The sequence below is a fragment of the Homo sapiens genome, chromosome 2, assembly GCF_000001405.40.
Source record: "Homo sapiens chromosome 2, GRCh38.p14 Primary Assembly".
Lineage (NCBI taxonomy): Eukaryota > Metazoa > Chordata > Mammalia > Primates > Hominidae > Homo > Homo sapiens.
In genome coordinates, this window is record NC_000002.12 from 153,927,746 (window position 1) to 153,949,995 (window position 22,250).

Genomic DNA, 22,250 nt, shown 5'->3' on the forward strand with positions numbered 1-22,250 from the left:
ACAACTTTACCAGGAAGTTTGCAGGAAAAAAACCGAAGCTCCAAGTCAAATTATTAAATATGTTTATATAAGCTTTAATGAGTTGTTTTGTTTTTTCCCCTGTGGAAGAAGACTATTTCACCTATTAATACTTTATTAACTAGTTTAAGAAAAGAGTGCATTTATTCCATGGATAAGATGTTGTTAAAAATCAATCATTAAAATATGGGAGCAGACAAATAAAACTTTGTTTACATTTGTGCAAGTTTAGTATACCTCTAGAGTACCCTGTAAAAGCCCCTTCTTCATCTCCCCTTTATGCTACTGGGGGTTCTTTTGTGTCTAGGGTTCTGTGCTTTTGTTTGACTTTATTTCACTTTCTATCCCCCATTAATTGTCAACCAGACTAGTCAGAGTGACTCTGATACAATTTTACAAGATAATATATTATTCCTCATTATTTTTCTACAAATAAATGCCCCTGTTTTGAAATGGAAGCCTAGATAAGAAATAACCACATTATTCTACACATTTCAAAGAAAGAACACTTGTAATATATTTCTTACATATTTTGTCATGAAGAATTCAGAAGCCTTAAGGCCAACTAGGAAGCTGCAGTTTAGATTTTCTAATGGTTGGATGTCTCAGTGGAAACATTTATTTTCTTTTTAATCAGGAGATTTATGGCAGAAGATGGCCAGCTAGCTGATAGATGTCTACTGGGAACTGTCTAAATGCTCTAGTGTTGTTTTAAATCTCTAGTTTTATATCTACTTGAACATTCTGAATTTCTCCCTTCCCCTCTTGAGGACTATTAATGAACAAGCTTGAATCATTGGTTTGCCGTGTTATAAGATGAACACTGAGCAGTCATTAAATGCTATATCAAATGAACTATGATAAATTTTTAGGTTGATGAATAGGATTTTTAAAATCACTAAATTTCATTATGTTTTTGAGGCCCATATATTCCTTTTTAAAAGCTTTCTTTATGAGGACTTCTTAATTTCATTATATTTTAATAATAATCTATTCCTTTTAAAGTCCCAATATCATATATTTTAGGTTTTGACAACCATAGCATCTTCATAGAATGAATATCCCTAAATTCAAGCATGGCTGAAGAGAGCTATGGGTAACAAATTGCCTTGACACAGGACATCTGCCTTATAAAATGTTACTGCTTTCTAAACATTCTCTGTAAATTTATCTCCACCCTTATTTCACTCACTCTATGGCCAAGTATTGTTTGTCACTTCATTCTCTCAACATTTGTAGTTATGTATAAAAACTATCTGTTAGGAGTTTTACATATTGGAATTACTCCATATGTTTCATACATCATTTTCTTATCCCTAATCCACTGCTTTTGTATATCTCCCCTCCTGGATCCTAAGACAAAAGGCAGGAATTGTGTCTTGTTGTCTGTTTTGTTTTCTTCTCATATTTCTTTTTATTTAATTCAAGAGAAAAGTTGAAAATACCTCACAGTACCTGCCTATCAGACAATGTGAGGTCGAGTGGGCCACAGCACTGGCATCACCCCAGGTTGTTAGACATGTGCTATCCCCGGCCTTATCCCAGCCCTACTGTACAGAAATCTGCATTTTATTTTATTTTTCTTTCCAACATTTATTTTAGGTTTACGGGGGCAGGTGGAGGTTCGTTACATGGGTAAATTACATGTTGTGGAGGTTTGGTGTGCAGATTATTTCGTCACCCAGGTAATGAGAATAGTACACAAAAGGTAGTTTTTCAGTACTTAACTTCCTCATACCCTCCACCTTCAAGTAGGCCATTGTGTCTGTTTTTTCTTCTTTATGTCTATGTGTACTCAATGTTTAGCTTACACTTATAAGTGACAACATGCTGTATTTGGTTTTTCTGTTCCTGTGTTAATTCTTTTAGGACAATGGCCTCCAGCTCCATCCATGTTGCTGCAAAAGACACGGTTTCATTCTTTTTATGGCTGTATAGTATTCCATGGTGTGTATTTAGCACATTTTCTTTATTTAGTCTACCAGTGATGGGCATCTAGGTTGATTCCATGTCATTGCTATTGTGAGTAGTGCTGCAATGAACATACACATATATATGTCTTAATAATAAAATGATTTATATTCCTTTGGGTATATACCTACTGATGAAATGGCTATGTCAAATGGTAGTTCGGTTTTAAGCTCCTTGAGAAATCTTCAAAACGTTTTCCCCATTGGCAGAACTAATTTACAGTCTTATTAGCAGTGTATAAACATTCCCTTTTCTCCACAATTTTGCCAGCCTCTGTTATTTTTGAATTGTTAATAGCCATTCTGACTGGTGTAAGGTGGTATCTCATTGTGGTTTTGATTTGCATTTCTCTAATTATTAGTGACGTTTATCGTTTTTCCTTATGTTTGTTGGTCACATGCATGCCTTCTTTTGAGAAGTGTCTGTTCATGTCTTTTGTCCACTTTTTAATGGGGTTTGTTTTTTGCTTGTTTATTTAAGTTCCTTATAGATTCTGAATATTAGACCTCTGATGGATGCATAGTTTGCAGATACGTTCTTCCTTTCTGAGGTGAGGGTTGTCTGTTTGTTGTCTGCTTGGCAGAGGCTCTTTAATTTAATTAAGTCCCACTTGGGAATTTTTGTTTTTGTTGCAATTGCTTTTGGCATCTTCATCATGAAATCTTTGCTGGGACCTATGTCCAGAGTGGTATTTCCTAGGTTATCTCCTAGAGTTTTTATGGTTTTAGGTTTTGCATTTAAGTCTATAGTCCATCTTGAGTTGACTTTTACATATGGTGAAAGGAATTTCAATTTTCTGCCTATGACTAGCCAGTTATCTCAGCATCATTTATTGAATAGGAAGTCCGTTCCTCATTGCTAGTTTTTTTTACTTTGTTGAAGATCAGATGGCTGTAAGTGTATGGCTTTATTCCTGGGTTCTTTCTTCTGTTCCACTGGTCTATGTCTGTTTTTGTACCAGTAAGTACCATGCTGTGTTGGTTACTGTAGTCTTGTGGTATAGTTTGAAGTCAGGTAGTGTGATTCCTCTGGCTTTGTTTTTCTTGCTTAGTATTGCTTTGGCTATCTGGGCTCTTATTTGGTGCCATATGAACTTTAGAATAGTTTTTTTCTAATTCTGTGATGAATGTCCTTGGTAGTTTGATAGGAATGGTATTGAATCTGTAAATGGCTTTGGGCAGTATAGCCATTTTATCAGTATTGATTCTTCCTTCTCATGAGCATAGACTGTTTAACCATCTATGTTATCTCTGATTTCTTTCAGCAATGTTTTGTAATTCTCAATGTAGAGATATTTCATTGTCCTGGGTAGCTGTATTGCTGTATTCCTAAGTGTGTGTGTGTGTGTGTGTGTGTGTGTGTGTGTGTGTCTATTGTGAATGGGATTGCCTCTTTGATTTAGATCTCAGCTCTGACATTATTGGTGCATAAAAATGCTACTGATTTTTGTACATTGATTTTGTATGCTGAAGCTTTGCTGAAATTGTTCATCTGATCTAGTAGCCTTTTAGCAGAGACTGTAGGGTTTTCTAGTATAAAATCCTATTGTCCACAAACAGAGATAGTTTTATTTACTCTCTTTCTATTTGGATAGCTTTTATTTCTCTCTCTCGCTTGATTACTCTCACTATGACTCCCAGTATGTTGCTGAATAGGAGTAGTGAGAGTGGGCTTCCTTGTCTTTTTCTAGATCTTAAGGAGAACGTTTCCAGCTTTTGCCTATTCAGTATGGTGTTTGTCATTGGCTGCGGTTTTGTCATAGGTGGCTCTTATTTTAAGATATACTCATTTCATGCCTAGTTTGTTGAAGGTTTTTAACATGATGCCATGTTGAATTTTATTGAAAACTTTTTCTGTGTCTATCAAGATGATCATGTGGTTTTTATTTTTAGTTCTGTTTATGTGCTGAAGCACATTTATTGATTCACGTATGTTGAACCAACCTTGCATCCTAGGGATAAAGCCTACTTGATCATGGTGGATTAGCTTTTCAATGTGCTGCTGGATTCAGTTTGCTAGTATGTTGCTTTTACCTCTATGAGGATTTTTACATCTATGGTCATCAGGGATATTGGCCTGATATTTTCTCTTTTCTTTGTGTTTGTTTTTAGGTTTTGGTATGATAATGATACTGGCCTCACAGAATAAGTGAGGGAGGATTTCTTCCTCCTCAATTTTTGGGAAGAGATTCAGTAAGATTGGCACCAGTTCTTTATATGTCTGGTAGAATTTGGCTGTTAATCCCTCTCATCCAGGGCTTTATTTGGTTGGTGGGTTTTTTATTACTTATTCAGTTTTGGAACTCACCCGGGAATTTATCCATTTCTTCTGTTTTCTAGTCTGTGTTAATAGAGGTGTTTATAATAGTCTGAGGTTTTTTGTATTTCTGTGGAGTCAGTGATAATGTCTCCTTTGTCACTTATGATTGTGTTTAATTTTCTCCCCCTTTTTATTATTCTAACTAGTGGTTTATTAATCTTATTTATTTTTTCAAAGAACCAACTTTTGGCTTCATTGATCTCTTCTATGGTTTTTCATATCTAAATTTAATTTAGTTTAGCTCTGTTTCTGGTTATTTCTTTTCTTCTGCTTGCTTTGAGATCAATTTGCCCTTGTTTTACTCGTTCCTTTAGGAGTGATGTTATGTTGTTAATTTGAGATCTTTTAAACTTTTTCATGTGTGCTATAGACTTTCTTCTTAATACTGCTTTAGCTATGTCCCAGAGATTCTGGCATGTTACTTCTTTGTTTTTCTTAGTTTCAAAGAATTTCTTGATTTCTACCTTAATTTCATTGTTTGCCCAAAAGTCATTCAGGAGCAGGTTAATTTCCATGTAATTGTATGTTTTTGACAGATCTTCTTTTTCTTTTTTTTCTTTTTTTCTGTCTTTCTTTTTTTTTTTTTTTTTTGAGATGGAGTCTCGCTCTTGTTGCCCAGCCTCGAATGCAATGGTGCAATCTTGGCTCGCTGTAACCTCCGCCTCCTGGGTTCAAGCGATTCTCCTGCCTTAGCCTTCCCAGTAGCTGGGATTACAGGGGCCTGCCACCACGCCTGGCTAATTTTTGTATTTTTAGTAGAGATGGGGTTTCACTATATTGGTCAGGCTGGTCTCAAACTCCTGACCTCAGGTGGTCCTCCTGCGTTGCCTTCCCAAAATGCTGGGATTACAGGCATGAGCCACTGTGCCTGGCCCGACAGATCTTCTTAGTTTTGATTTCTATTTTTATTGCTCTGTGTTTTGAGAGTATGGTTGGTATGATTTCAGCTTTTTTAAAAATTTGTTTATAATTGCTTTATGGGTGAACATGTGATTGATTTTAGAGTATTTGCCATGTACAGATGAAAATTATACATCTTCTGTTTTTAAGGGATGAAGAGTTCTGTATATGTCTGTTAGGTACATTTGGTCAAATGTTGAGTTCAGGTCCTGAATTTCTTTGTTAGTTTTCTGCCTCAATGATCTGTCTAATACTGTTGGTTGGGTGTTGAAGTCCCCCATTACTATTGTGTGGTTATCTAAGTCTCTTTGTAGGTTCCTAAAAAGAGAATTTCTGTGCCCCAGTGTTGGTTGCAAATATAATATTCTTCTTTTGTCTTTTTTGATCTTTGTTGCTTTAAAGTCTGTTTTGTCTGAAATTAGAATAGCAACTCAATATTTTTTTGGCTTTCTATTTGCTTGGTAGATTATTGTCCATACCTTTACTTTGAGCCTATGGGTATCATTGCATGTGAGATGGTTCTCCTGAAGTCAGCATATGCTTGAGTCTTTCTTCTTTATCCAAATCTTCACTTTGTGCCTTTTAAGTGGGGTGTTTATCCTGTTAAGTGGGGATGTTTAGCCTCTTTATGTTTAAGGTTAATACTGATATGTGTAGATTTGATCCTGTCATCATGTTGTTAGAGTAGCTTGTTATGTAAACTTGATCATGTAGGTGTTTTATAGCGTCAGTGGGCTATTTATTTAAGTTTGTTTGTTTGTTTGTTTTTTTGGTGGCCAGTAATGGTCTTTCATTTTCATGTTTAGCACTCCCTTAAAGACCTCTTGTAAAGTGGGTCTGTGATAACAAATTCCATTAGCTTGTCTGAAAAGGATTTTATTTCTCCTTCTCTTACGAAGCTTCATTTGGCTGGATAGGAAATTCTTAGTTGGACTTTCTTTTCTTTAAGAATACTGAATATAGGCCCCACAGTCTCTTTTGGCTTATAAGGTTTCTACTGAAAAGTCCATTATTAACCAGATGGGGTTCCATTTGTAGGTCACCTGCCTCTCCTCTCTAGGGGCCTTTAACATTTTTCTTTCATGTTGACCTTGGAGAATCTGATGACTGCATGTCTTGGGGATGGTCATCTTTTACAGTATCTCAGAGGATTTTTCTGAATGTATCTTTAATGCCTTAGCACAGTGTTGGCATTTATGTGGGCACTAAATTATATCTGTTGGATAAATGAAAGGAATATTTTAGCTTTATAATTAAGGTGGTAATTTTATTCTTAAAGTAATACATGATTGTAGCAAAAATTCAAGCTTGCAGAAGACTGTAAATTCTGTTGTTCGGAGATTACCAAGTTTAGTGAGTGTATCTGTAAATTTTCTGGGAATGTGAAAATTTACACAGACAGACACACATACATATTTCCTGCTTTTTTGTGTGTGTGATGATCTCAGGTCTGTGAAGGTTCTGGAATTTGATTTTACCTCACATAAAAGCTAAAAGTTAGCTTGTTATTATGTCATGGATTTGGGCAGAATGGACTTCTGTATTAGAGCAAAGGACATTTTTTACTCATGGCACAGGAAGTACATGAACCATCAAATGTCACGTGTCAATGCAGTTTGTCACATATTGGTCTTTTAACACATGCTTGCATATACGGATATCCATTCTATGAAGATGCTATGACTATAAAAGTACAATATATGTTTGTGTGTGTTCCACTTGCTTCCTGTGTCCTATTGAGGGTATGTGGATAGCCCCAGTGGATTCCTACTTACATGGTGGGTTGCATTACAGAAAAAGACCAATAACCTTAGATAAGCTACTATTTTATAATAAACATTTTTCAATATTCCTTACTGCAAACACAGTTATGAAAAGTGGCCTGGCTGTTTGGGGCCTTGCATTCTTGGCATCCCCAGCAAGAAGTATTAGGAGTTTATGAGAGTGGAGGAGTGTCTCTCAATGATATCCACTTTTGATCTTTGATCATGTTGGCTTCTGGTGAAATTTCATGTGATTATGGCACTCCATTGAACACCCTAAATAATATGACAGTGGCTGGGGTCAGATGTATTTAGTTTTTCTCATACAGCATTTATATAAGGCTATTATGAGCAGAACTTCTAACAACAGGATTAGGCCAACTTGGAGTTTTGACTTTACTCATGTTTCCCTGTGGTCCGGGACTCAGTCACTGTAAATAAGTCTAAGAGGATATCAATAGGTTTTATTCTATAAAGCCAAACTGTGGTAGTCTAAGAACAGTGTATTATCCAGCACAACTGACACAAGGGAGTTTACATAGAACTGCTTATCTTTGGTTATCATTGCAATAGATGATTTAATAGAATCTGAATTTCCATGGAGAGATAGTCCATGGCTCACTCAGCCCATATACAAACATATAGCCCAAAGGGACATAAATCTGTCCAATCAGGATTTTTTATTTAACTTTATTTGGATCATCATTACATTGGTCTGATTAAGCATGTGTCATGTCACTGAAGAGTTGTAGCCTGGATTGTTTACATGGCATAAGCCAAAGTGCTCAGATATCAGGAGAAGCAAGTGAATTTCTATCAGCCAGATAGAAACAATGTTATGCAAGTTCCTGTGTTTGTTTAGGTGGGAGGAAGGGTATCTTTTTGGGAGCAGCCATTTATGGCATCAGGCACAGCAGAGCAGTTCAGGACTGGCCATGCCCACATGAGTTTTTCTGTTTCATAGCACTTGGAAGAGATGACAAATGGAACAGCAGGCTGGATTGTCAGCCACAGATGCTACTTCACTCAGGCAGGCCATATGATTATTTTGCCAGGCTCTGATTCTGGATCTAGGTGACAAACAGAGCATTAATTAACCCATCCTCTTCCCCACAACTCTTGGTGTACAAGCCATTTCTTCCCCAGATGTCAGTTATTGCTTTCTCCACAGCCATGAAATTTTGTGTGCCCTATTTCAGTATAACTTTGCTTTACTTCTCTCCAGTCCTCTATTAATCTAACCCAGAGCTTTGATATGAAAGTATTAAATGCAAGTGGAACAGAGACATTTTTACAAAATATACAGAGACTCATTATACCTCCCATGTTTGCCCACATAGGCCATTGTAGAGGGATTCAGTTAGCAGTAGAGTTAGCTGTCTGTGTCTGCAGTTTCTGCATTCGCAGATTCAAGTAACCTTGGATTGAAAATATTTGTGAAAGAACACAATAAAAATAGAAATACAACAATAAAATCACAGATAAAAACAATTTAGCATTAACAACTATTTGCATAACACTCACATTGTATTAGGTGTTATGAATAATCTAGAAATGACTTAAGGACTACAGGAATATGTGCATAGGTTATATACAAATACTATGCCATTTTATATAATGGACTTGAGCTTTGAGTTTGGAAAATCTAATACCTTGACTATCATTTTATTATTAGGTGGCCTTTGCAACAAATGGCACAACATTGCCAGACTGTAGATGGTCTGGAAACCAGCAAATATGACCCAGTTTAGTTTCATGGGCCACAGTGGTATGGCTGGAGGTGACTGATTGGCCTGAAACAGCAGCCCTGTAGCCTGAAACCAGGTAGGATGGTGATGTAGGCACCTTTATCACAGAGAGCCATAAATATTCTTATTCCCGCCATCCCTTCTTAGCGATGAACCATACTTGTGTTTCAGGCCAAGGATAGGATTTACAATTTATTTTAAATGTGATAGAAGCTGTTGATCAATAATGAGCAGAACAGGGAAGATATCTAATTAAATTTAATTTTTTTTTTTTTTGAGACAGTCTCACTCTGTCACCCAGGCTGGAGTGCAGTGGCATGATCTTGGCTCACTGCCATCTCCACCTCCCGGGTTCAAGTGATTCTCCTGCCTCAGCCTCCTGAGTAGCTGGGACTACAGGCGTGTGCCACCATGCCCGGCTAGTTTTTTGTATTTGTAGAGACGGGGTTTCACTGTGTTAGCCAGGATGGTCTCAATCTCCTGACCTTGTGTTCCGCCCACCTTGGCCTCCCAAAGTGCTGGGATTACAGGCGTGAGCAACCGTGCCTGGCCATTAAATTTAAATTTTAACAGGAACCACCTGCCTTTTGTGAGAAGACTAGATTATAATGGGGGTGCATTTAAGATGCTAAGACATAGCATATGATCAAGCAATTCTACACCTAGGTATATACCCACGAACAATGAAAACATATGTCTACAGAAAATTTGTACCTAAATGTTAACAGCTTAAATTTTTCATAATAGTCAAAAGGTAGAAACAACACAAATGTGCATCAAGTGATGAATGGATAAATAAAATGTGTATAGCTATACAATGGAATATTATTTGGCAATAAAAAGAAATGAAGTACTTGTATATGCTACAATGTGAATGAACATTGAAAACATTGTGCTAAATGAGAGAAGACAGTCATGAAGGCAACATATTGTATGATTCAATTTGTATGAAACATTCAAAATAGGAAAATTCATAGCCAATAAATCAGATTAGTAGTTACTTATGTCTATGGATGATGGTAGGATTGAGGGTTCTAGCAAAGGGGAGTGGTTTACTTTTTGAGGAAAGGAAATGCCCTAAAATTGATTGTGGTGATAGACACACAATGTGTGACTATATTGCATTGTATACTTTAAATGAGTGAATTATCAGATATATGAATTATATCTCAATAAAACTTTTTTAAAACAATCTAAGGCAGCATTTCAAAATCCTGGTGGCTGCTTGGTCTATAGTTGTAGTGGTGGAATTGGTGAAAAGTGGCACAGAATTTGCTGCACAATCAAATATGGAATGTGAAAGAAACAAGTTGCTAGAAAGGAGTACACGGTTTATGGCCAACCTATACCAAATGCTGCTGAGTATTTATGTAAGATGATGATTAAGAATTGATCATTGGATTTGACCGTGACCTTATCACATGAGGTTTCCACGTAGTGGCAGGACCTAAAGCCTGTGAAGTTTAAGAGAGAATGGGAAGATAGGGATGTATAGACATATGTAATTATTGTCAAAAGTTTTACATTAAGGGTGAGTAGATGGATGTAGGGATACCTGAAGAGAGGTGTATGGTGAAATTACTTTATTCAAAGATTATTATTAATATAACATCTTTGCATATTGGTAATAATGACTTGTTAGAGAAGATAAACTAATGCAGAAGAGAAAAGTGCATTAGTCAAATCCTTGAATATGTGAGGGTAGAGGGTATTGCATTCTTTAAAGGGACAGTTCACCAGGGTAACAGTTGGACTTGTAGAATTTGGTATGGTAGTAATGGAAACAAGCAAGCAATACATTTAACATGGCAGTATGCAAAATTCTCTTCTGATTGTTTATATGTTCTCTGTTAAATGTAGATGCATAGTGATCAGCCATGAGAAAAAGAAAGTGTGGAGATGACAGTATGAGGAAGTCAAATAAGCTGCAAAATTGTTGTCTGAAAGATGGAGATTGATTTGGACTCCACTGCAGTGTGGGCTCATAGATTTAAAATGAGAAGTGGTGGAATAATTTGGGAGTTTCATGACAGCCATGTTCACCTGTTTGCATGTAGAAGTGGAGTATAGGAAAGTGAATTTAACTAGCCAGTGTTTTAGTTTGCTGGGGCTGCCCTAATGAATACCACAGACTGGGTGCCTTAAACAACAGAAATATATTTTCTCTCACATTTCTGGAGGCTAGAAGTCCAAAATCAAGATGTCAGCAGTGTTGATTTTATTCTGAGTCCTCTTTTTGTGGTTGGTAAATGGACGCCTTCTCTCTGTGTCTTCACATGGTTTTCCTGTGTCCTAATCTCCTTGAAGGGTACCAGTCATATTAGATTAGGGTCCACCCATCACACTTCATTTTGTCTAATTACCTTTTTAAATCCCCTATTTCCAAATATGGTTCCATTCTAAGATACTAGGGGTTAGGACTTGCACCCATGGATTTTTGGAATGTGGCAGGCAAGGGCAATTCAGCCCATAACAACAAATGCTGGAGTTTTAAAATTTAAATATATTGGAGTGAGAGAGGGCGTATGTAAGAGAAGCGTAATCCTGTTCTCATATAGCTTACCATTTAAGAAAGGGGGACAAATAAGAAACAAAAAAAACCCCACAATTTTTCAATAAATTGGGGGTGATAATTGCTAAGAAGGAAAATTAAGTGGGGTGAGAAGACAGTGAGTAAGGTGTGTGTGCTGTTTTATATAGGCTGATAGGAAAGCTCGTGGTGATGTGACATTTGAGCAGGAAGGAAGGAAGATCTGAAGGAAACAAGAGCAGGGAGCCATGAACCTATGACTGGGCAGAGAAAGCACAATCGCACATGCCCTGAGGCAAGCTAGTAATTCGTATATTTAAGGAACAGCCAGGAGACCTAAGTCACTGATGTGAACATGGTAGGAAATGAGATCAGAAAGGCATGAAGTAGAAGCTCTCTTATCTGGTGAACTTGTGACTACAATTTATTTAATCAAAAGTTGATGATATCAGGGAATCATATGATACCTATTTACCTTTAAAAGGGAGGTACAATTTACATTGAGTGAAATGCACTGATCTTAAGTGCATAGTTCAATGAGTTTTCACTATTGTAAAACCTTGTGTGACTCATACCACATTAGAAACTACATCTAAAATAGTTCTGCTTTGTGGTACTTTTGTTATCCAATCCCCTGAACACCTATACACTGAGCATGCAATGTTTCTGCAAGGGTGGGTAGGGAGAATCCTCATTGTTTTTTCTTGCTCTTAGAATGATGTTTCTGATGATAACAATATGTGTTACTACTAGTAATAATAACTAATCTATATTGAGTTCTTATGTGCCAGGCACTGTTATAAGAGGTTACGTGTTACATCCCTGTACTCATCCTAGCCTTACAAGGTAACTACTATTCGCATTTTGTGAGTAGGAAAACCAAGGCATTAAACATTTAAGGAACTTGAATCAAGTTGCACAATTAGTGAGTGTTGAAACCCAGACTCAAATCATGACAATGTAACTCTGAAACGTTTTCTTTTACAGGCTATGTTAGGTTCCCTCCTGAGAATTGAATTTTAGCGTATCATCAATATTCTCCCTTTCCTTAGTGTATATGCAAATGAGGGCATTTTTTGTTGTTGTTTTTTTCAGTTTTGTTTATTGCTTCTCTTCTACCATCTTTCAGTAAAAGGCATTTATTTAGCATTATATTTGTTGGCTTCTTTGTCTCTTAGTTTAACCTTTAGTGTGATGTGGTTATTACAGTGGACACTTTGGTTTAGGCTGTGAGTGGATTTCCTGGGTTTAACTTAAGTTTTTGTCTTTTTTTTTTTTTTTTTGACAGAGTCTTGCTCTGTTGCCCAGGCTGGGGTGCAATGGTACAATCTCAGCTCACTGCAACCTCCGCCCCCCAGGTTCAAGTGATTTTCCTGCCTCTGCCTCCTGAGTAGTTGGGATTACAGGAGTCCGCCACCACGCCCAGCTAATTTTACATTTTTAATAGAGACCGGGTTTTGCCATGTTGACCAGGCTGGTTTCGAACTCCTTACTTCAGGTGATCTACCTGCCTCAGCCTCCCAAATTGCTGGGATTACAGGTGTGAGCCACCGTGCCCGGCCAATTTCTTATCTTTATTCATACAAAGATCTGTTTTCCTATCAGTTAGACCTGAAGCTAATTTATGGTATTTTTTCAGGGCTTACTCACTACGTTTATCAGCCCATAAACCAAACTGCAAAATTATTTGGTCATTAGTTCACAGAAGCTCCTGCCTAACTATTTAAAACATTTAAAGTATGCTGAGTGCCTGAAACTTCTGGAAGCATTACCAGCAGCCTTACACTAGTTTCCAGGATCCCTTGGCAGCCTCAAGGATAGCCTCAGAAAATAGACTGAAAACATTTGCTCCCATTACACAATTTTCTACAAAAGAAAGTTTATGACTATAGATAAAAATATGTCTAATAGCAAGTAAAATAGATTCCCTAAGTAATAACTTCCTAATTAAAAAAGAACAACAAATAAAAAACCAAAGCAAAAACAAAAGCTTTTTTCTTCTTAATTTAACAACATAGTTACAAAACCCTAAACTTTATCTAGATTTTATTTCTTATATTTAACATCAAAATTTTTTTTGAGATGGAGTTTCTCTCTTGTTGCCCATGCTGGAGTACAGTGGCACTATCTCCGTTCCATTACAGGCACACGCCACCTTGCCTGGCTAATTTTTGTATTTTTAGTAGTTACAAGGTTTCAGTATGTTGGCCAGGCTGGTCTTGAACTTCTGACCTCAGATGATCCGCCCGCCTCAGCCTCCCAGAGTTCTGGGATTACAGGCATGAGCCACTGTGCCTAGCCTTAAAATCAATTTTTAATAAAGATAGGAAATATGGTACACATTTTCAAGTAAAAATCCTATAACATAGACAATCTTGCTGATACCATTACTTAATGTTTTTGAAACAATTAGGAAAAGGGTAATAGTATTGGATAGAAAAGTCTGTAGTTCATGCAAGTTGCTCATGCACTACACTGGTTTGGCAAGCCAGGGATATTGAAGAACTTGGATTTTCTGACTGAGAAACAGAACAGTATTTGCAAATAAGTAGGGGTTTCCTGGAATAGAAACATAATACAGATGCTGATTCTCTTAAATAAACCTGGGCCACCAACTGTGCTTACGTTGGTTAGTATTCTGTGTTTAAAGTACCATTTTTCTGCTCAGTTTTCTTCTTTTAAGAGGAATATTGAAATACAATATATAAGATTATTATTTTATAAGTGCCAGGGGATTAGATTTCTGTGAATGATAAAGTTTAGCCTGTTTTCAAGGTGTAGGTGTTTTCAAAATATAGGTAAATTTCCAAATTAAAAAATACAAGCAGAGTCTGTTTCATAATTACATAAGAAGTTTAAACAGCAACTTAGTTTTTCACATGATATAGTTAGAATTCTTTCAGTGCTAATGTCTTAATATATAGCACTAGCAGGCTATGAAATTAGGATAATTTGAATACTGCTTGAAGTGGCAATAATATGTAATTTTGACTTTTTATCATAAATAAAGTTTAAGTTAAATTCTCAATAACCTCAACTGTTAGGCTTTTATTAGGAAATGACTTATCTTAGACATTTCAATATTTAATTAATACTGAGTGATTTCAGATTTTCTATTATAATAATATTCTTCATCTTTTCTTGAACGATTTTTTAAATTCTTTATCTTGATTAAGCCTCACAATATTTTGTGAGATTGATGGGGCAGGAAATATGTTATAAACAAATGAAGCACTGAGAAGCAAGATACCTACCTAAGGTCATCCCTTTATTTGATGACAGAGCCAGGGATGGTGCTGTTTACATCTTCCAGGATCATTTATGTATATGGCACTCCTTATAAACTTGGGAATGGCCGTGTAGTGACCGTCAATGTTATAGGTACTTCTCCATGGAATTATTTTCTACAATAAAGTGAAAGGATCTACCCTATCTTAAGACTGAAGACAGAACATTTGATAGCTTGAATTGTTTCATATCTCAAATTTAGAAAAGAATGTACACGGTAACAGGAAATAAATATGGGATAATCATTCCTTTATTATCAGGTTTAGAGGCTGATTTCCAATATTTAGCTATCATTTTTATAGAAAATTAAAGTGGAAATGAAACAAAGTAGATAATAACATGTTACTTTTTTCTAAGAAAAAAAACCCCAAATGTCATGTATTCTTTGGATTTACATATATCTCTCCATTATATATATATATACACATTCTGAATAAATGTAAATGTAATTTTTTTGTAATTACTAAAATAAAATCTGTTACAATAATTATTTTGTAACTGGCGCTTTATGTGAATTTTGAATTTGTTGCTAGTTTAGGTTGGTTATAACAGGCAACAGAATTTCTGTTGCTTTATGGTGCTGTCAGCTGCTGTTAATTTAAAGAGCTTGTGCTCATCAAATTATACTTTGATGTTTTTGAGACAAACGTTTATGAAATATTTCAAGTGTCTTTGTATTTAATACTGTTCACCCCAATTAGCTCTGTCAAAACTTCATCACTTATCTTATTCACATCAATAAGCTTACATTTTACTCGATATTATTTAAAATGTAACAAATGATATCAGAATATGTTTTGTCTGATTTACTTACTTTATAGATAAAAGTTGGTTAACCAGGTAGTTAAACAAATGTAGTAGTATAAATAAAATGCTCAATGTAGTATAAATAAAACAAATAAGTGTAAGGTATTCATTCTACACTTACCTTGAAAAATGTCTCTTAATAATTATGTACATATCTTTGTTATAGCCTTTAAATTCTTGCTCTGATTATTTTAAATCATTTATGTTAATATATTTTTCCCCTGATAAATTGGATGCGTGCTATCTATTCTAAACACACATTTATTGTAGATACTTTCTCTGCAGATCAGCTGGGATTTTAGAGGCTGTGTAATTATTGATCGTGTCTTGCAATTGCTCTACTTAAGAATATGAGAACAATTTTTTCTGTTTTATGTATTTATTTTATTTTATTTTTACGTATGTATGTATTTTTTTTTTTTGAGACAGAGTTTTGCTCTTGTCACCCAGACTGGAGTGCAATTGTGTGATCTCAGCTTACTGCAACCTCCACCTACCAGGTTCAAGTGATTCTCCTGCCTCAGCCTCCTGAGTAGCTGGGATTACAGGCACGTGCCACCATGCCTGGCTAATTTTTGTATTTTTAGTAGAGACGTGGTTTTACCATGTTGGCCAGACTGGTCTCAAACTCCTGACCTCAGGTGATCCGCCTGCCTCGATCTCTCAAAGTGTTGGGATTACAGGCGTGAGCCGCCGTGCCCAGCTCTGTTTTATGTTTTATTAATTATCTGTTCTGCAAGATGCTTTATAAATATGATTCTACATAATCCTCATAACAAATGAGGTTTAGCTTTGGCATTTCTATCCACATTATACAGATGAGAAAACTGTGGCTTAGAAAGTCTTCTATTCTTAGGAGGTGTACAGACCCAGACGTGTCTGTCTATGAAGGCCAGATTTTAGCCACTATAATATATTGTATCCCAGGATGATTTCTATTTCAGAATTATTGGCTAGTCAGAAGTACTGAATTAGAGTAAAGTCAGAATTGCACTATTTGACAACCTGGAGCTATAAAGAATATCATGATATGACTTTAAGTTCATTACAATACAACTTAAAGGAATCAAGTAGTTTGTCAAGGGCCTGGCAGAGTAGTGGCAGATCTAGTATTAGGTATTAAAATGTTAGCCAACTAGCTTGCTAGCAACTTTCATTTATTTAGGCTTTTAATTTTGGATTCGAAGGCTTGAGTACTGATATATTTGAGAACATTAAATAAGTCATACATTTCATGTTATATGTTCTTTATCCAAAAATCTATGTGTACAATTAATGAAATTTTCTTCTTTGTTTTAATGCAGTGGAATGTATCCTGCTTTCATCTTGGAGTTCACCTGTGTGGCTTGGATTTATCACAGTAGCATTTGTCTTCAATCTGTGTGTTAACTAGAAATCAAGGAAAGACATGAGGAGATTTGTCTACTGCAAGGTGGTTCTAGCCACTTCGCTGATGTGGGTTCTTGTTGATGTCTTCTTACTGCTGTACTTCAGTGAATGTAACAAATGTGATGACAAGAAGGAGAGATCTCTGCTGCCTGCATTGAGGGGTAAGTGCTTATGAAGCAAATACTGTCTTTATAGAGATGAGAAAAGTGGTGCCTTGACAAAATGAGAAACTTCAGAATCAGAAGAGTTTTGCCTTAGTGAGTTAGAAGAGCATTTTGGCAGCACTATTAATGCATGTTTAACCATGGGGAAGTTACTTTACCTTTCTTGGTCTTAGGCGTCTTCTTGGAAGAAATAAGAAGAGTTAGCTAACCTCTAAGATACCGTTCAACCTAATAAATTCTGGTGTTCTGTGACTGTATGAAAAGAACAGTTGAGTGAACGTTCAAACTGGGCAGAATTTTAAATCTAGGCTGCTAGAAGCCAAAAGCCTTTAAAGACCAAGCACATAACATAAAACGGAAAAACCACTAAAGTGAGACAGGTGGCGATTTTAGCAAACGAACTGTGCATGAATGACACCGCTAAAGACTTCCAAAACAGTTGAAATAAAACAACCAATTTTTAAAACAAAACACATGGCGGTATGCAGATTTACCAGATTGCTGGCTGTATGTTAAGTGAAAAAGATAATTTCAAGTATACTGTAAAATTACTTTATTTCAGTATTTTCCTCTTGAGGGACCAGTTTCAAAGACTAAATATGAATGTAAACATAATAATTTGTATGAATGGTTATTTATCAAGTAAAGCCATAGAGATTTGTTTTCTGTGAAGTTATTCCAGTTTTCTCTATGCTTTCTTTTTTGTTAACTTCAAGATCTATAAATATATTTCTAATGTATTCCTAGAAAATTCAATACTTCTAAAATATGTAAGAGTACTCAAAATTAGTTTTATTCTCATTGAACTAACATATTCTCTGTTTGGCAAAAGTTTTCTGCATAAATATGACAAAAAGCAAGCTTCAATTGAAGTATCATGACATGTTTGTACCTTTTGGAAAAGTGAATCTAAATTATCAAGTTGAGATTTACATTTATTTAATGAATATGATCTGCTTTTAATGTTATACATATTTTTGAGATATTTATTGAACAAAATATTTAATAAACAGAATCTCATTAACACTATCAGGTTACATGAAATTTAGGGAAACAGAAGAGCATTTCCAAAATTTAATTTTTGTTCAAAGAGTACTTTAGACATGTTGAGTTTGCTTTAGATTGCAAATCAAAGATTACTTTAGACATGTTGAGTTTGCTTTAGATTACAGAAATACTCTTGTTCATTTAGAGAAATTCTGAATCTTCTGAATCGCTTCCTTGTCTTTTAAAATGGAACTTGCATTTTAGATTTTGACTAATACAAATAATTTAAAAAAATTTGCAAGTGACTGATGCTAGACCCATTTAGGTAGTTTACATGCATTTTTTATGCCTTTATACTTCAGTTATTCTGAGAGGGGAACATTATAAGTCCATGTTTTTGACAAATGAACATGGGGAATGATTTGCTGATCTTTAGTTAAAACCCCAGAATTAATCAGCCTTCTGAGCTTCTTTGTCAGAATCAGTTGAGTTGCTGCTTGGCTGAATGTAGAAAAGTGTTTTTGATGGATTACATCAGTTTGGAATGATCACTCTGTCATTTGTTGAAGGAAACCATCTAGGTTGGTCACATACAAAAAATGTAATAATCTGATTCAGCAAAACTTTGATAGCCTTTTCTGCCAGTAACACAAAGGTACAGTTTTGCTGATTTATGTCCTTAATGCTCCTTAAGTCTTAAATCTCAAAATGTGAAATTTAACAATGCAAGGCAAAAATAACTTTTCCTTGTACTTAAATTGTAAAATTAAACTATTGTTCTCTTTGTTGATAAGACTTGTTATTTTACTTCATTCAGGTTGTTAAAAAAATATAGACTTGGTGGCTAACAAGGAACAGACATTTATTTCTTACAATTTTGGAGGCTGGGGATTCCAAGATGAAGGTGCTAGCAGATGCAACGTCTGATAAGGGGCTGTTCCTTGTAAACAGCTGTCTTCTCACTAACCTCACTAGGCAGAATAGTTGAGAAATCTCTCTGGGGCATATTTTATAAGGGCACTAATTGCATTCATGAAGGTTCCACCTTCATGACTTAATCACCCCCCAAAGGCCCTATCTCCTAATATCACTTTGAAGGTTAGGATTTCAGTATATGAATTTTGCAGAGACACAAACATTCAGTACATTGTACTACTTTAAAGTTTTATATTAATACTATTTGTCTGGAATAAATGGAAAATAGACTTGAGGGTTTTAATTTCATTTTCAGTTGTCACTTGTTATTTCAGAATTTTTACTTTAGGAGTTTGCACCTTGTTTTCAAAATATTTTATTTGTAAGCAGATGATGCTGTGCAAAGTGTACCTAACTGAAATTTTCACATTTTAGGTCTGCTAAAAACAGGCTTTTTTACTTAAAAAAAGATCCTTCTGGACCTGTGCATCTCCATTATTAAAGCAAAGGTTTTGGAGTAGGCAGTTTCTAAGTTCCCTTATATGTCTAAATTTTAAACAATTCCTAAGGACCCAATATTAACATACACTGTTAATGAATTTTTGACATATTTTCATTCATTCACTCATTCATTATTTATTAAGTTCTTACTCTATGCAAATCCTGGGGATATAACTGAGGTCCCTGATGTTTGGGACATAAGGGAACAAGGCTCCCACCTGCCATGGAGCTTAAAGTCAAATATATAGTAAACATTTTTGTCTTTCTGTATGTATTTATGTGACTGTGTGTGTGTGTGCGTGTAATCATGTGCCATATAATGATTTTTTGCTCAACAACTGACTGCATATATGATGGTGATCCCATAATATTTTAAAGTAATGATCACTGATGTTGAGTTTTTTTTTTTTCATATGATTGTTGGCTGCACATATGCCTTCTTTTGAGGAGTGTCTGTTCATGTCTTTTGCCCACTTTTTGGTGGTTTTTTTTTCTTGTAAATTTGTTTTAAGTCCCTTATAGATGCAGGATATTAGACCTTTGTCAGATGCATAGATTGCAAAAATTTTCTCCCATTCTGTAGGTTGTCTGTTTACTCTGTTGTTAGTTTCTTTTGCTGTGCAGAAGCTTTTTTGTTTAATTAGATCCCATTTGTCAATTTTTGCTTTTGTTGAAATTGCTTTTGGTGTCTTCATCATGAAATCTTTTTCTGTGCCCATGTCCTGGATGGTATTGCCTAGGTTGTCTTCCAGGGTTATTATAGTTTTGGGTTTTACATTCAAGTCTTTAATCCATCTTGAGTTAATTTTCCATATAGTATAAGGAAGGGGTCCAGTTTCAATTTTCTGCATATGCCTAGCCAGTTCTCCTAGCACCATTTATTGAATAGGGAATCCTTTCCCCATTGCTTATTTTGGTCAGGTTTGTCAAAGATCAGATAGTTGTAGGTGTGTGAACTTATTTCTGGGTTCTGTATTCTGTTCCATTGGTCTATATGTCTGTTTTTGTACCAGTGCCATGCTGTTTTGGTTACTGTAGCCCTGTAGTATAGTTTGGTGTCAAGTAGAATGATGCCTCTAGCTTTGTTCTTTTTGCTTAGGATTGCTTTGACTTTTGGGCTTTTTTTGGTTTCATATGAGTTTTAAAATAGTCTTTTCTATTTCTGTGAAGAATGTTAATGGCAATTTAATGGGACTAAAAAAAAAAAAGCTCAACATGACTGATTATTAGCTAATTGCAAATCAAAGCCGCAATGAGATTCCATCTCACGCCAATCAGAATGGCTATTACTAAAAAGTCAAAAAATAACATATGCTGGCAAGGTTGTGGAGAAAAAGGAACACTTCTTTCCTGTTGGTGGGAGTGTAAATTAGTTCAACTATTGTGGAAGACAATGTGGTGATTGATTCATCAGAGACCTAAAGACAGAAATACTATTCAACCCAGCAATCCCATTATTGTATATACCCTAAGGAACATAAATTGTTCTATTATAAAGAGACATCCATGCATATGTTCATTGCAACACTATTCACATTAGCAAAGACATGGAGTCAACCTAAATGCCCATCAATCATAGGCTGGATAAAGAAAATATGGTACATATACACTATGGAATACTATGCGCCATAAAAAAGAATGAGATCATGTCCTTTGCAGGGACGTGGATGGAGCTGGAGGCAGTTAGCCTTAGCAAACTAATGCAGGAACAGAAAACCAAATAGCTCATGTTCTCACTTATAAGTGGGAGCTAAACAGTGAGGACACATGGACACGTAGACAGGAACAAAACACTCTAAGGTGGAGGGCAGGAGAAGAGAGAAGATCAGGAAAAATAATTAATGAGTACTAGGCCTAATACCTCGGTGATGAATAAGTGTGTACAACAAACCCAAGTGACACATGTTTACTGATGGAACAAACCTGCACATGTGCCCCTGAACTTAAAATAAAAGTTAAACAAATTATAACATTTTACTGTACCTTTTCTATGTTTGGATCTGTTTAGATACACAAATACAATTGTGTTATAATTTCCTATAGTATTGAGCATAGTAACATGTTATACAAGTTTGTAGCCTAGGAGCAATAGGCTATACCATACAGCCTAAGTGTGCAGTAGGCTATACTATTTAGTCTTGTGTAAGTACATTCTATGATGTTTGCACAATGATGACATCGCCTAGTGATGCACTTCTCAGAACACTTCCCCATCCTTATGCAACGAATGACTGAATATATATTCAACTGAAAAGGAAAAGTAAGTTAGAAATGATTATAAAACATAATTGATATTAGGATCAGGAAGAAGAGGACACTGGATCTAGAGTATTAGATAAAATTTCTCAAGCCAGGCATGGTGGTGTGTGCCTGTAATCCCAGGTACTCAGAAAACTGAGGTGGGAGGATTGCTTGAGTTCAGGAGTTTGAGTCCAGGCTGGGCAATATAGTGAGACTTCATCTCAAAAAAGAAAAAAAAAAACCTTCACAAAGGCTGTAACATTAAAATTGAGGTTTACAGCATAAGAGTAGGAAATAACTAGTAAAAAGCAAAAAAATACTAAAATTCTAATAGAATGATAAAGATTCCAGAAAGCCCAGGATACTTGTAAAGGAGAAAAATACAGAGTGGGGATGTGGCAAGTAACAGCTCTTAAAATTTAGTGTAATTAAGGCTATATAATTGGAACAGAGAAGCACAGGGGGAGACAAATTGTCCAAAGGAAGAGAATTAGCCCTCTGATGGCGAACCACATGTGTACATATGTTTGGAACATTCTTTATATGACAGGAGAGGCACTGCAGATCAGTGGGGAAAAGAGAGGCTGTTCAATAAATGGAACCGAGAATAAAGTGGCAATCCATGTGGAAAGAGATGAAATTGGATGCCTAACTCATGTCATGAAGTTTGGATTTAGGACTTAAATGTCAAAAACAAAATTTAAACTTT

At 35.7% G+C, this 22,250-nt stretch overlaps 1 protein-coding gene across 18 annotated transcripts in view; it reads left to right on the forward strand.

Moving 5' to 3' along the window:
- The window catches only part of GALNT13 (polypeptide N-acetylgalactosaminyltransferase 13), a 1,388,282-nt gene that overhangs the window by 859,453 nt on the left and 506,579 nt on the right, over positions 1–22,250 (forward strand). For 17 of the 18 annotated variants that reach the window (XR_007069045.1, NM_001422882.1, NM_001422883.1 and 14 more), the window contains one exon: positions 16,649–16,894. Coding sequence is in view for 16 of the 18 variants with exons in the window: in NM_001422882.1 (NP_001409811.1) it covers positions 16,753–16,894 (142 nt within the window). In the remaining 2 variants the exon portion in view is untranslated. Of the gene's footprint in view, positions 1–12,537; positions 12,748–16,648; positions 16,895–22,250 lie in introns of all 18 variants that reach the window. The other variant, NM_001376394.1, reaches the window with a different exon arrangement.